Source organism: Homo sapiens, chromosome 8, assembly GCF_000001405.40.
Source record: "Homo sapiens chromosome 8, GRCh38.p14 Primary Assembly".
Taxonomy (NCBI): domain Eukaryota; kingdom Metazoa; phylum Chordata; class Mammalia; order Primates; family Hominidae; genus Homo; species Homo sapiens.
The window spans coordinates 132,183,910-132,199,467 of record NC_000008.11 but is presented as its reverse complement, the minus strand read 5'-3'; the positions used below and the strand labels follow the sequence as shown (position 1 = coordinate 132,199,467).

Below are 15,558 nucleotides of genomic sequence, written 5' to 3'. Positions count from 1 at the left end.
GACAAAAATATCATATTAGTACTTTGTCTTTAAAAAACTATTAAAACACAAAAATGTGTTTATAGTATCTCACACTTAACAAAAAGTTAGGTTATAATTGCAACTGTGCTCTAATTTTTAGAATGAACAAGACTTACTCAGGTATTAATTGGGGGATATGCTCTTAATGCCAAATTATATAATACAATATGACTTTACATTTTATTTTCCCAACATTTAGGGGTAGGATTGGTTGAAGTTTTTAATCCTTTAAAGTATCAGTTGGTTTTTTTTTATTATTTTTCTTGCAAGATCGTCACCTGTCAATGACCCTGCTGTATTTAAAACAGCTTTCCATCATCATTTCTATCAACTTTGTGAAATCCTGCATCTTTTGTAAACTTTGCCTTTTTGCTTTGCAAGTGGTTCATGTTGTACTACTGAATGGTGTATCTGATGGTGAGGCAGAGACTGACTTGCAAAGCCATGACATGCCCAGGGTATAGGTTGCTGTGATATTGTCAAGGATGTTTGCATGGAGACTTCATTAGGGTAGTGCCTTTGGTTATAAAGGTTTTTGCTGTCCTGTGCAATCTCTTAACTAAGAAGACTGAAATAAGGAATATTAAGATAACAGAGATACCTTAATTCGTTACTCCTGTTTTTTTGGTTTTTGTTTTTTGAGATGAAGTCCAGTTTTATTGCTCAGGCTGGAGTGCAGTGGCATGATCTCGGCTCACTGCAACCTCTACCTCCCGGGTTCAAGCTATTCTCCTGCCTCAGCCTCCCAAGTAGCTGGGATTGCAGGCACCCGCCACCATGCCCAGCTAATTTTTGTATGTTTAGTAGAGATGAGGTTTCATTGTGTTGGCCAGGGTCTTCTGGAACTCCTGACCTCGTGATCCACCCGCCTCAGCTCCCAAAGTGTTGGGATTACAGGCATGAGCCACTGTGCTCAGCCGTTACTCCTGTTTTATAGATAGGAAATTGAACTTTGGAAAAATAAACCTGCCAAATATCATCACGTTGCTAAGCGGTGAGCTAAGATTCAGATCCTGGAAAACTAGTATTAGTTATCTATTCCTGCATAACAAACTGCCACAAAACTTAGCTAAACACAACACACATTTATTATCTCCCACTTTCTGTGGATCAGGAGTCCAATCATAGCTTACCTAGGTCTTCTGTTCAGGGTCCCTCACAAACGCTACAGTTAGTGTTGGCCAGTGCTGGGGGCTCATCCAAAGGCTCAACTGAGGAAGGATTCTCTTCCAAGCTTTCTTTTGTGGTTGTTGGCCAGAGGCCACATTTGGTTCTATACTACACGGGCTTCTCTAGCACAGCAACTTCAAAGCCAGCAAGAGAGACAGTCTACTTGTAAGACAGAAGTTGAAATTTTTTGTAACCTAATCACAGAATTGACACCCTTTACTGTAGTCTATTGACTGGAAACAAAGCACAGGTCCCAGCCAACTTTAAGCAGAGGGAATTACCTAAGAATGTGATGAGCAGAAGGCAAAGATCACTGAGAGCCATTTTAGAGTGTACTTGCCACAGCTGGACTCTGAAATATTTAATCTTTTCCTTTTTGGTACCCGTTTATGAGGGAAACATGGCAGGTACTTGCAACATGAAGATACTTAAAGTGAAACCTCACATCACTTTGTAGTACCTATTACCCTGGCATGAAACTTTTGGATGTTTAATAAAATGCTTTGTTAGTGATGAGACCTCAGTCCACAAGAGAAGGCAAATACTTCAGTCCGTAGCATGCCTGATACATAGAATACACGCCACAAATGAAAAATTAAATGTCACCAGATTGACCTTAGCATCCAGGATATATCAGAGACATGGTTTGTCCTGGAGAAGAAAGAGAAAACATCTGGAGATGGACTGTTTCTCTCTTCTTGCTTGACTCAGATTCCCACTGTGCCTGCCCACTTAGTGTGGCCAGAGGATCATGTGGACCTGGAAGTTCCTAGCTAATGGCTTGTCTCTAGCCTGCAGGGAGAAAGGAATGTGACTTGCCAGAGCTTCACTAGCATTGCTTTTATATGCAAGTGTCAAACGAGAACAGGGATAGAGCGAAGGTGTTGGAGGCAGTGTTAATGGGGCTGTTGTATATTTTAGCTGATGACAGTGTTAGTGTGGAGGAGGACATAGGCATGGAACAGAGCTGCTTGGCCTGGTGAAGGCTGAGAACTCTATCCTAGGCAGAAGCCTCCACCACAACCATCACCCACCCAAATATGGCATGCGTAGAGCAGGTTGGATGAATCTGGGAATACTGACAAAAAGGAGGTCTTCAGAAACAGACAGATGGTTACTCAGACTGGAATCAATGGGGCAAGGGACAGTGTGTGAGGGAACTGAGATATCATCTTGCTAGGGGTTCTACAAATTTTTAGTTGATTTGCTCATTCTAAATAAAGGAATCCCAGGTCTCATAAAATGGCAAAAAAAAAAAAAAAATCCATGAGACATGGTGGAACACAGTCATTGGCCTCACCCATCTAAGCTAAAATTCACTCTTGCAATAGTTAAGACATATCAGTACTGTGTAGTCTGTGAGCATTTATTTTCACAACATCCCTGAATTAGGAGCTATTTTCATCCCTATTTACAGATGAGGAAACAATCCCTTAGGTGCTAAGTGGCAAAGCTGAGGTCTGAAATCAAGTCTATTTATCTTTGAAAGCCTTTCCAGACCCTCCCACCAGGGTTATTGGCTGAAAGTCTGAACCCATGATAATAGCCCTGACAGGCCTTGGGGACCATCTGCTTTAATTCCTTCATTTCACAGATGTAGGCACTGAAATCTGAGGAGAGGAAAGAACTTCTCCAAGCTCCTACAGTGAGTAAATGGCAGAACTGGAAATAGATCTGAGATGTGTAGTTTCTTCAGCCAATCCTTTGGGTTGGTCACTGTGATCCCAAGAGGAAAATTGTAGCATCTCTGCTTCTCCAGATTGGCTTACAAGAGAACACAGTGGCACGGGGTGCAAGCACAAAGTGATGTGCTCTGTTCATCATTGAATGCCCAGGGTATAGAATGGTAAGTGCATGTCAAGGAATGGGTGGATTCTATGAGGAGATAAGAAGAAATCCTATGGGAATGCACAAAAGGATTTTTCTAATGTTGACTGGTGAACAAGAGAGGATGAACAATTAGCTCCTAGGGGACAATGGAATGTCTGTTCCTAACTCTTGGCATATAATGAATGATAAGTAAATATTTTATTGAATAAATGAATTAATAGAGGAGGTGACATTTGAGCTGAGCCTTAAAGAGTAGAAAGGAGGAGTCATTTGGATGAGGGAGAGAAAGCATATGATGGAGAAGAACGGAATTTTGAAAGGCCTGCCACATTTTGATGAAATTGTAAGTTTGATGTGACTGGAGGGAGAAAGAATGAAGAAGTAAGCCTAGGAAAGAAAACTAATATATTTTGGAGATCTATTAGGTATCTGGAGATCTATTAGGTGCATATTAGGTATGCACATGTTTATAATTATAATGTCTTCTTAATGGATTGACCCTTTCATCAATAGATAATGTACTCTTTTGGGTCTTGTAACAATTTTTGTCTTGAAGTCCATTTTAAAGTCTAATATTACTATAGCCACCCTAGCTCTAGTTTGGCTCCTGTTTGCGAGGAATAGCATTTTCTATCTTTTCACTGTCAACCTATTTGTATCTTTGGATCTACAGTAAGTCTCTCGTAGACAGCATATAGTTGAATCATGTTATTTATCCTTTCTTTCATGACATGATCTGATTTGGGGGGAACCTGGTTTACCTTTCTAAAGAGTTGGAACTTTACCCTGTAATGGATATGAGGAGCCCATAGCTGTATTTAGACAGGGGTTTGGCATAATCAGTATCCTTGCTTAGAAAAATGGTACTGGAAGGCATGTACCGATGACTACATGGTGAAGGGCACACTCTTCCAGTACCCTCTCCTGTGCTTTCTTCTCCTCACTGACAGCTCTTGCTGCCTCTTTCCAGCTCAGAGGGCTGAGTAGCACTGAAGGCCCCCTAAGGGGACATGAGGATATCTGCCATTGCCTGGCTCAGCTGCGTCAAGTTGCTGACCCTGAAACGCAGCCTCACAACACAGGGTGTTTATTTGCCTCCCGTGCTCTTCTATTAAATAGTTGTGAGTTTTGTATTAAGATAGTATTAAGAGATGGAATCATTTTGAATGACTTCGAAATTATTCCTTGTACTTTTTTATGTGTTTTATAAAAGTCTGACATTTGCCAACATGGTTTATAGTGCCTAACACCTCATAGGTAAATAAGCACACGGCATATTTGGAGAGAGAAAAAGTATAAATGTTAAATGAAGAAAAACAGTGGTCAACTCTCAAAAGAGAAGATGAACACATCAGTTTTGTTTTAATTCCCTGAATGACCCTGGTGTATGGTATTTAGCCTTTTGCCCTGATGTTGGTGGGGTTTGGCAGAAGTGGACGGGTTGTAATCAGGTAAAAGAATAGCACAAATGTCCATAAAGATTCACTCTTTGATTTACCAGAGATAAAGTAGAAAGTGGCACAGTGGAGGATGTAGCAGGCTGGGAGTTGAGAGACCAAAATCCTCTTTCTAGCTCTGCAGGGAGTTATTTTGTAGCCATAAGCAAATCACTCCGAACTCTGATGTACAAATTTCCTTTCTGTTAGATGAAAGAATAATAGGTCCTTCTTAAGGTTTCCTGAAATTTCCAGCTAATCAAATTTTTGAAAGAGCTTGGCATGAGTCAAATCAGGAAGAGGAAGATTTAGAAAAACGATTTTAGCTCTGACTTATGTTCTCATGTCTGGGTTCCAAGGGAATGGCAAATGGTTGGTCTTTTCCTGCACCTGTGACAGACATCACGAATCAATAATGGCATTTCCCCCCAGTTAACTTGGCTGCAATCTGGATTCTTTTCAATAACGCATTCCTGGCAGCCTTAACCAATCCATCCTAGTGGGTTTTCAAGATAAAAAATGATTTGTCAACCCTGTTCTTAGTGGATGGAACAGTTCTCATTAGGAGATGACTCAAACATCCTTTTTGGGGCTGACTCATAGAAAATAAAGAAACCCCTGGCACACAGTGGGTGCTTTAACATCTGAGGCTTTTCAATTGAGGGTCAGTAGGATCCTCACGCAGTTTGAGGTCTGTCACTGCCTTTTAAGGTTATGTCTCCTTCTTAAGATCGAAGATCAGTAATGGTGGCCAAGGGTTAGGACAAGTGCAGCTAACTATGACGTAACAATGCCTGTCTTTTAGACAATTCAATTCTGCCTTCACCTAGCTAGGAAAAATGTTTCTATGCATCGCTATTCAATGGCAGACAGACAAGGATTCTAAGAAAGAGAGTCTAGTGCTACCTTCTAGGACATTTTGAGGGCTACAGATGCTCTGAAAGCTGTCCATTGACAGCTGTAATTAGAGCAGGAGCCAGCAGGGGTATCTGGGAGCTATCTGGAATGTTACTGAGATTTTCTCTGCCAAATGTCAGACTCCAGAGGAAGAGAAGGGAAGACATTTACTTCTCCCAGCTGAACTGAGAGCAGCAGGCCAGGCTGCCTTCCCTGCTCTCCCTCTGGCTCTGACCACACCTCATTCTCTGCAGATTCTCTTCCAAGGCTCCAGTGCTCTCAGCACAGTGTCTGACTTCTCACTCCCTTTGTGTCCCTCCTGCCTGAGCTTGGAGGCTGAGTTCCCCATCTGTAAAATGGGGATACAAATAAAATGATAGTCCCCTTCCTCGCAGTGTTGCTCTCAGGAGTAAAAGAGAAAATGATGTACGAAAAAATTCCTGCATCAATGTTTTCACCGTGTTTGTCTCACTGTGAATGAAGCCTGTGAGGGGATGTTTGGCTGGCAACCTTAACTCTTACTTCCAGCAGGCTCAGCTTTGGAGTCTATAAATGGATGCCAGACATGGGTGAGAAGAGGCGGCAGGGTTTTCCTGGTACCACTGTGGTCATCCCTCACATCTGCATCTGCAAAAGCCTTCCTTGCCTGCTGCCTGACAGAGGTTAGGTATCCAGTGGGCCTGGACAGCTCGCACTGGTTCCTGTCCTGAGGCCCCTGCATCTGCCGCTTTAGAGCCACGTGCAGCTACAAAGCAGGCTTCCTTGTGTCAGTTCCCTTTTGTCCTCCCCAACCTGGGCTTGGATGGAAGATGGCCGAAGGTGAGGAAAGAATACTGAAGGTGGAAGCATGGAGGTGATGGAGACTGATTTAAGGGCATATTCGTGACTGTTGACCTTGACTGGAATTGTTTGCAAAGACAGCCTGGATGCTGCAGACAGAAGGCTGCTATTGGCTCTCCCCAAGACTCCTGGCCGCAAACCCTTGCTTACTCCTGCAGGGTGTAGAAGGGAGGGAGAAGTGGTGGGCAAGGCGCAGAGGAAGGAGGAACAAGAGAGGAGAGGAGCAGTGGAGGAAAGGATGCAGGAGAAGGAGAGGAAAAGAACTCAGGAACGCCAGGGCAGTAAGAGAAGAGCAGAGGAAAGGAAACAGTCAAGACTATAGAGAAAGACCGGGCACTGTGGCTCACACCTGTAATCCCAGCACTTTCCAAGGCCGAGTCAGGTGGATCACCTGTGGTCAGGAGTTCGAGACCAGCCTGACCAAAATGGTGAAATCTCGTTTTAAAAATCCCAAAAATTAACCAGGCATAGTGCTGCATGCCTGTAATCCCAGCTCTTTGGGAGACTGAGGCAGAAGAATCGCTTGAACCCGGAAGGCAGAGGTTGCAGTGAGCGGAGATTGCGTCACTGCACTCCAGCCTGGGTGACAGAGCGAGATTCCGTCTTGAAAATAAAAAAACAACAAACAAACAAACACAAGAAACACCAGACTATAGGGAAGGAAACTGAAGTGACAAAGGACAGACGAAAAGGAAGAACAGGAATAATTGGTGAGAATGTAGAGAGAGGAAACCAAAGCAGGAAGAGAAGCAGAAAACCAGGAAGAAAGCAGCTGGGGGCGGCTCTCACGTCAAGACCCCCAGGAGAATCTCTAGCCCCACGTTCAGCGCCACATCCTTGTCCATCAGTGGGACTGATAACGTGGTCTCCGTCTGAAATTAAGTTCATATGTTAAGGGTAAATTGAAATATGCAAGAAACTAAGGGGCGTTTCCTCTTCTCAGGTTAAGGAGGGTTTCCGTATTTATTTTAGCTGTATAAATTAATGATTGTTCTCCTGTCTTAGAAAGTGGGTTCCTGCGGTTGCTGGTGAGGCGTGAGAAGCGCGGGGCTACGCCGGGCCTCTGCTGCCCCCTCCTGGCCAAAGATGGGCTCCGCAGGCTCCCTGCGGATGGGAATCGGCTGAAACTGCATTTTGGTGGTTGGCGAAGGCGAAATTATCCCTTCTCCTGGCTCTAAAAGCAGACAACGAGAGCTGAAAGAGAGTTAGATATTCAGCCCTGACCTTTCCCCTAAGCCTTAAATTTAGATTTCAATCAGCCGGATGGAGATTTCCACTTGGACCTCAAGTGCAGCAGGTCCGCAAGTAGCTTCTTATCTTCGCGGTCCTGCTGGCCGCACTGCACAGCTTCTTGATGTCTGCGAACAGCACATTATCCACTTTCTTCCCACCCCAAGACCCCTCCCAGTGCTCCTCTTGCTCGATCTTTATATCCCATTAGTCACAACTCCTGCCAGGACTACACAGGAGGATGCTCTCTCATGGGACCCTTGTCATCTCTCCAGCGCACCCTCCTCCTCTCTGGTCAGCTCATGATAACGTCGTCTTGACTGCTGTCCTGGCAGAGACCTGTCTTTGGATAGAGATTACAGATAGAGATAGAGACAGAGATATGGAGATTTATATATATTATATATATTAATTATATATATTATATATACATACACACACATACACACACATATCCATCTTTCTAGATATATATCCATCTATCTATATATATATCCATCCATATATTATATATATATATAGAGAGAGAGATACATATATATGTATGTGTGTGGATAGATAGGTAGATAGGCAGATAGATCTTCTAGGCTGGGCACAGAAGCTCATGTCTCTGATCTCCATACTTTGAGAGGTTAAAGAAGGAGGATCTTTTGAGTCTAGGCGTTCAAGACCAGCCTGGGCAACATAACGAGACCCCATCTCTATAAAAACAAAATTAACCATGAGTGGTGGTGCACACCTGTAGTTCCAGCTACTTGGGACCTGTAGTCCCAGCTACTACAGATGGGAGGATCACTTGAGCCCAGGAGTTGGAGGTTACAATGAGCTATGATCACGCCACTGCCTTCCCACCTGGGTGACAGAATGAGACCATGTATCTTTAAAAAAAATCTTCTGCAGAATAAAGCTCAAAGTCTTCATTTGATCTACAATATCTTTCATGTCGTGCTCCCAGCCTGTCTCTCCAAGTTCACCTTATATCCCTTGCCTTTAATTTCAACAAGGCCATTGCTAATCGCTGAAATTGTTTGTATTCATTCTCTAAACATACATTGGTTCTTATTAAGTGCCAGGTTTGAGCTATTCACTGAGATACAGAGAGGAACAAGACATAGTCTCTGCCCTCCATGAGCAGAGTCTAATAGAGCAAATGCACACATGCAGCCCAGACCTCCCTTGGATTATCCTGCTGTATAAAAGTGAGATGCATTTGGTGCAGATTCCCATTCCACATGGTATTAGTTTTCTATTGCTGCATAACAAATTGCCTCTAACTTAGTGGCTTACAACATACAATTTTTTAATCTCAGTTTTCATGAAGAGTATGAACATGGCTTAACTGGGTCCTCTGCTGAGCATCTCACGAAGCAGCAGTCATGGAGTTGGCTGGGACTTGTTCTTCTCTGGATCTTGTGGGAGGACTCCCCAATATCCCATGATTGTTGACCCTTGCAGTTCCAGAACAGGTCCCACTCTCATGCTGGTAATCAGCCAGTGGCTGCAGTCAAGTCCAAGAATCCCACAGTTCCTTGCCACATAGCTCTCACAGGCCTTTCAAAACAGCAGCTCACATCAAGACCAGCAGGAGAATCTCTAGCTCCAGAATGCAATGGCAGAGTCTTATATAATGTAACAATCACAGGCATGACTATCCAGTTGCCTTTGCCATATTAAAAAAAAAAATACACAGAGTAGTGACATCTTATCTCTTTGGGCATATTCTATTGTTAGAAGCAAGTCACAGGTTCTGCTTGCACTCAGAAAAGACAATTATGCAACTGCCTGACTCATTGGAGATTACCTTAGGGCATGCCCACCATACACACAACTTGAATCTTTCATATATACATATCCGAGGTACAGGGAGCTGTGTAAAGTCTCAGAGTCCAGCTAAGGACTCCTTTTCCTGCCAAATTAGTTCAGCTGTGGGACACCAACCTGTCTCCTTTTCCCATGCACTGATCCAGCCATGGGTTCCAGCGCCAGGATCGATGCCAACTAAAAACAAAGTCACTTATGAGGCTGTGGTTGATGGCTTGCATTGTTGGACCAAGAACTTAAGATTTTAAACAATCTTGTTCTTAAAAATCCTTCAGCATATGGCTAGACCATATCCTCTTCTCTCTCTCTCTCTCTTTTTTTTTTTTTTTTTTTTGGTCATTTTTAGCCCTCAACACCAATCCCCATCTCTAATTTTTGGATAACTTTTTTTTTTTGAGATGGAGTTTTTGCTCTTGTTGCCCAGGTTGGAGTGCAGTGGCATGATCTCGGCTCACCGCAACCTCCGCCTCCCGGGTTCAAGTGATTCTCCTGCCTCAGCCTCTCGAGTAGCTGGGATTACAGGCATGCACCACCATGCCTGGCTAATTTTGTATTTTTAGTAGAGATGGAGTTTCTCCACGTTGGTCAGGCTGGACTCGAACTCCCGACCTCAGGCGATCCACCTGCTTCAGCCTCCCAAAGTGCTGGGATTACAGGCATGAGCCACTGTGCCCAGCCATTTTTGGTTAATTTTTATTGCTAAGTAGTTTAGCAGTCTCATGTTTTAAGGGTTGCAACTTCTACCTCAATCGGATCAATAAAGTATTCTCCAGGCAAAGGCAGTTCCTTCCCTTAAGGGAGTCCTATTGTCAGGTGTTGGGACAGTATGTTTTATTTAGCACATGATGTGCGCAAACAATTACAAGATGATAACGGGTTGTTGTCCATGCTGGAGTAGAAGTGAATCAGGGTGCTCTGGGATCCCAGGGATGAGATCACACAAGGGAGCCTGCAGAGAGCAGCTGGGGTCAGGGAAGGCTCTGGAGGCAAGGCATGACTGGCACTGCCAAGACATTAGCAGGTTAATGATGGGGACATGGCAAAAGTGGACAGGGAAGAGGACCATCAAGACAGAAGGCACATGGGCTCAGAGAATTTGAGGAAGTTCTGTCATTCCTACGACCAGCCTGGATGTGGGGAAGCAGCGGGAGATGACAAGGCTGTGAGGAGGGCAAGGCTAGATCATAAAAGGCCCACATCCCTTGTTAAGAAAAATCAAACCTGGTTCTTTGTCCATGAACTTTTGCACCTCCTGCACGTGTACATGTTGTTCATGAGGCCTAGGGGTCCAGACTCCAGGTCAACATGTAAAATGGGGAATGTCCTGGATAAACTTGGACATATGGTCAACTGTAGCATAGCTTTGAATTTCCTTCCAACCTCTTGGCTGCAGCCCCTCCTGGATGCTCCCAAAGCATGTGAACACGTGGGTCATAACCTCAACCACACTCTCCAGTAATTATTTGTCCTGTTTTCCACATTGAACTAAGGAGTCCTTGCATAATGAGGAATAGGTTTTATTCATGTTTGTATCCTTAAAACCAGTACTATGTCTGGGACAAAAGAGGCACCAAATAAATTGATATTAAATTGCAATAAAATGATAGTTAACTCTTACTGAAGGCTGGCTTTTCCACGCACCTGACATGGATTACATCACTGAATAATGGAGGATATGGACATTTAATTGGATTCATTTTACACAGAAGGAAACCATGATGCAGAAATGTTTTGTATTTTGTCTAAGAACACGCAGGTCATAAGAGAAAGAAAATGATTCTAAGCAAGGTCTTCTCTACAGAGCCTATGAATGAATAAAATAAAGTCTTGAGAGAATCATAATGTGGACTTGCAGAATCTTCTGAGAGTGATTAAGTTCCCTGCATGTTGCCAAGGGCTTGACTGGCCAATGATGAGCATGTTTGTATGAGAGCACCATGATCCTCAACAATTGACTCAACAATATCCTTTATCAATTATTTCCTGAAGTCTTCAGAATCATGGTGAGCTCTAGGCAGATTCATTATCCTCATTCCCCAGATGAGATGACCGGGATCTGCCAAGTCAATGAGCTGCTCAAAATCACATAAAAAGCACCAGAGCTTCCTTTTAAGCTTAGACTCCAAGCTTTCTGGTCATTTTACTGACAACATAGTTATCCTGATGGTAGTGATTCTTTTTGATGAATGTCTTCATCTCTAAAATGGGAATGGTCATATCTAACTTTGGAGGTTGTAGTAACAGTTACTGATGTTGTTACCATCATCACAACCACCACCACCACCACCATCACTATCACCACCAACACCACCACCACCATCACCACCACCACCACCGCCACCATCACTATCACCACCACCACCACCATCACTACCACCACCACCACCACAATCACCACCACCACCACCACCACCATCACTATCACCACCACCGCCACCACCATCACTATCACTACCACCATCATCACTACCACCACCACCACCATCATCACTATCACCACCATCACCACCACCACCACCACTATCATCACAACCATCATAATCACCACCACCACCACCACTATCATCACAACCATCATCATCACCACCACCACCACCATCATCATCGTCAACTGAGAAGATATGGGGCTTAGGGGAGGCAGATATCAAACATGGGTTAAAGTCGAATTTCACATAAAATGTCCAAACACAGGAAGGAGTTGGGGATCTTGTTTAGGTTCCTGGGCATGATTGGAGACACAAAGATTCAGGTCTGAAGATCAGCAGGTTTATAGATCAGAAAATATGATCAGGATCACTAAGGGTCAGAGGCAGTACTTGGTCCCAGCCAAGGTCAGAAGGAGACATTTCCATCCGCCTTACATCATGGTCCTTATGGTCACACCATGAGACAACTTTCTGTTTATCTGGACTGTGAGCTCGTGAGGACAGATCCAGCCTATTCATCATTGAATTCCAGCTCTGTATGCGCAACGTCTGCCATTTAAATATTGAATGAATGAATGAACAAAAGCCAAAAAAGCATGGGTAGAACCTAAGTAGAGTAGAAAACCAGAGTACCTGGAGTAGGAGAGCTTAGAGTATGTACTACCAAGCTTCACCCATAAACCCTAGCTTATAAATTCCCTTTTGGACACCCAGGGAACCTGGTACTGACAACTAAGCCAAAGACTCTCCACCAAGAGGGAGAACCATTTTCCTTGGTAAAACAATGAAACAGGGACTGTCTCTCACTCTCTCTCTCTCTCTCTCTCTCTCTCTCTCTCTGTCTCTCTCTCTCTCTCTCTCTCACACACACACACACACACACACACACGCACCTCACAGTTTATAAAGATAACAATCTTAAAAAATTGTTTGTAGTTCACTCCTGCCTGAGCCTGGTCATGAACCAGGTGACCTCTCTGTGAATTTTAAAGGACCAGCATTCTGCATGCTTCAGTGTGGTAGTTCCTCTTCTTTCTAGCATTTCAAAAACAATTCCAAAGATCCCCAATTGAAAGAGGTTCCATTGACTGTAAAAATGAACAATATTCATACTTGGTGACAATATTCATACTTGGTCACAGAAGCCTTTGCTGAATTTTTCAATCTTTGGAATAAATTTGTGTTTTCTTCATTCTAAGAAAACATTTTCATATATTTTTAAATCAGTCCTATGTGTGTAGAACACATTATTAATTAATTCATATACTTAATGACTTGTGAAAAGTTGTCTTGACTTTTGGACTTTCAGCAATGTCCTCGAGGTTGGAACCAGATGATCTAGTTTAAATTCTAACTAGCTGATTCTACTAATTAGCTGGTTAAGTAAAAGTATGCACATTGGTCAACTTCTCTCACATTGTTTTATTTAACTGGGATGATTGTTTCCGCCTGCCTTGCAGGTTTGTCGTGAAGATTGAATGGGATAGCATATAAAGCACATGTCAATGTCCAGCAGAAGTTGCAGCTTCATCCTGGAAGACACCTTTCCCCATCTTAGCCTCAAAGCAAGCCATGACTCAAAGGTTCCTTAGTCCATTTCTTTCTTCCCCTCTAGGTTCCTGATTGTCCTGGGGTGCTTGATTCTGGCTGTCCTGACCACATTCAAGGAGTATGAGACTGTCTCGGGAGACTGGCTTCTGTTACTGGTAAGATTGCATTCTGGGGTAAATGCTTCTGGTTGGGCTTCCAGAGTGATGAAAAGGAGGTTGCCCTTGGGTGCACTCCTCCCTGACTGGTTGCAGCTTCTTGTAGTCTCCAGTCAAGTCCAGGCCCAAGGAAAAGCAAAGCCTCCATTACTTGGTATGGCCCGCCATGGGCACATGTGGGGTGAAGAATGGCATTCCTGGTAAAGCTTTGCTATTCCACATTAGAGAGAAGGGGAAATAAAGTCAAAGCAAAAACCAATGCATGTTATTAAATTATAAAATACAGCTTCCCAATCCTCTGAAAGGTAACACAAAGGCATGTTTCATTCTAAAACCTGTCTCTGCTTTTTCTTCCTGGTATCCTACAATCTAAACTCCAAGGATCTCTCATTCTCTCCAAGGCCAGGTACAGAATTCCATTTATACACGAAACCTCTAAATCTCCCCTCCTGGGGCCTGCATTTGTTTTCACTCTCTGTCCTCCATCAGGTGGTGTGATGGAAACAGAGCAGGATTAGAATTCTTGGGCAAGTCAGCTAAGGTACCCCTGACTCTGTTTGCTCAAGTCCTTGCCTAAAAAATGTAAGGTCAGATGAGCAGCAAATGCAGACATGGGCTGGGCCCAGTCTCAGTGCCTGGTTGAGAGGAGGCTCTAACAAGGGCTTGCTCCTTCTGTAGCCACAGGACAGCACTGGTCAACTGGCCCCTTGAATGACCACACCCTTGCCGTGATTAGGAGTCAGTCCTGCCTCTTCAGGGCAATGCCGACTGCATGGGGTGAGGCCCCATCCTGCACACAGGGCAGTGGTGTGGCCCCCTAGTTAGGGCTTTTAAAATAGTGGAGCCTTCTTCTCACACTGGGCAAGCCATCGAGGCACCAGAGTCAGCTCTTCCTTCTGAGAGCAGGGGTTTGCAACAGCACGTCCCAGAGCTCAGACCTCAGTGTGGAACTCCCTGGAAACCATCCAACTCCAGGAACTAGGCTCCAGGGATTGTCGTGGAGCAGCAATGCCTCAGGGCACCCAGGGAGGTCACAAAAGAGAGAGAGGCAGAGGTGTTGGTGTCTGATCATCAAGGGAGTTGCAGGAGGAAAGGGGGACCCTGTGTCCTGGAGAGTGCTTAAGCTCCTGGGCTCTGCAGCCTAGTTACTTGAGCCTGAGATCCCTTCTTCTCCACTTCATTGCCTTGAAAAACTTGTTTAACTACTCTGTGCCTTGGTTTCTCAAAATGTAAGATGAGAATAATATTATCAAACACTTTCAGGGCTGCCTGGCCCAGGAGCCAGGCTTAATAACCATTAGCCACAATTAGCAATGCCAGGGTACAGGCACTGGGTGGAATTAACAGATTGTGTTTCACTCATATCTCTCTTTTCAACCCAACTGCACTTCTTGGGGGCTTTTCATTCATTAAAGGGACTTTTAAAGCTGACCTATTGGAACAAAAACATAGAAAAAAGAACGAGTAATCACTGTGCCAGGTTTAACAGCATTAAGGACAATTAGCACATCAGAATGAAGATGGGAGGCCTCCAAACTGAATGGCGGTGATGGACCTGTTCTCCCGGTTCCCCTTCCCCACCCCCATCCCCAGCCATCCCTGCCAACCAGACAACCAGCAACAGCACAAAATGGAGTTCTTCAGAACTTCCGAATAGAAATCACCAGCTCCCGACAAGTGGATCTCGGTTAATCAGTGCCTCTCCATATGCTCTTCCATGCAGGAGACATTTGCTATTTTCATCTTTGGAGCCGAGTTTGCTTTGAGGATCTGGGCTGCTGGATGTTGCTGCCGATACAAAGGCTGGCGGGGCCGACTGAAGTTTGCCAGGAAGCCCCTGTGCATGTTGGGTAAGTCCTGACCCTGAGCCTCCCAGCCTCCTCAGTTCCCTTCTTTTGGGGCATTGTTTCTCTGAGAAAAGTTTAAGCAGCTATTCTGGGAAATCACGCGGCACTGTGGAGGCCAGCTCAGCCCCTGACGCTGCCTCGATGAGAAGGGACAGTGTCAACCTTCTGGGTCCTCAAATTCCTCCTTCTGTGACTGGTCCTTATAAGGACTGCACAGGACAGGGATTCTTATTTGGCAGGGTAGGGTGTCACTCTTGGCAATTGGGTTGTGGAGCAGCAAGCAGGTTGCAGGATATTGAGCATCCCCAGTCCCTGGAGTAGTAGCACCCCCAGT

General features: G+C 44.4%; 1 protein-coding gene across 5 annotated transcripts in view; it reads left to right on the top strand.

Moving 5' to 3' along the window:
• KCNQ3 (potassium voltage-gated channel subfamily Q member 3) overlaps nucleotides 1-15,558 on the top strand; it is a 360,235-nt gene that overhangs the window by 281,628 nt on the left and 63,049 nt on the right. For all 5 annotated transcript variants that reach the window (XM_047421769.1, NM_004519.4, XM_011517026.3 and 2 more), the window contains exons 2-3: nucleotides 13,287-13,377; nucleotides 15,101-15,227. In XM_047421769.1, the coding sequence (XP_047277725.1) occupies nucleotides 13,287-13,377; nucleotides 15,101-15,227 (218 nt within the window). The remainder of the gene's footprint in view (nucleotides 1-13,286; nucleotides 13,378-15,100; nucleotides 15,228-15,558) is intronic.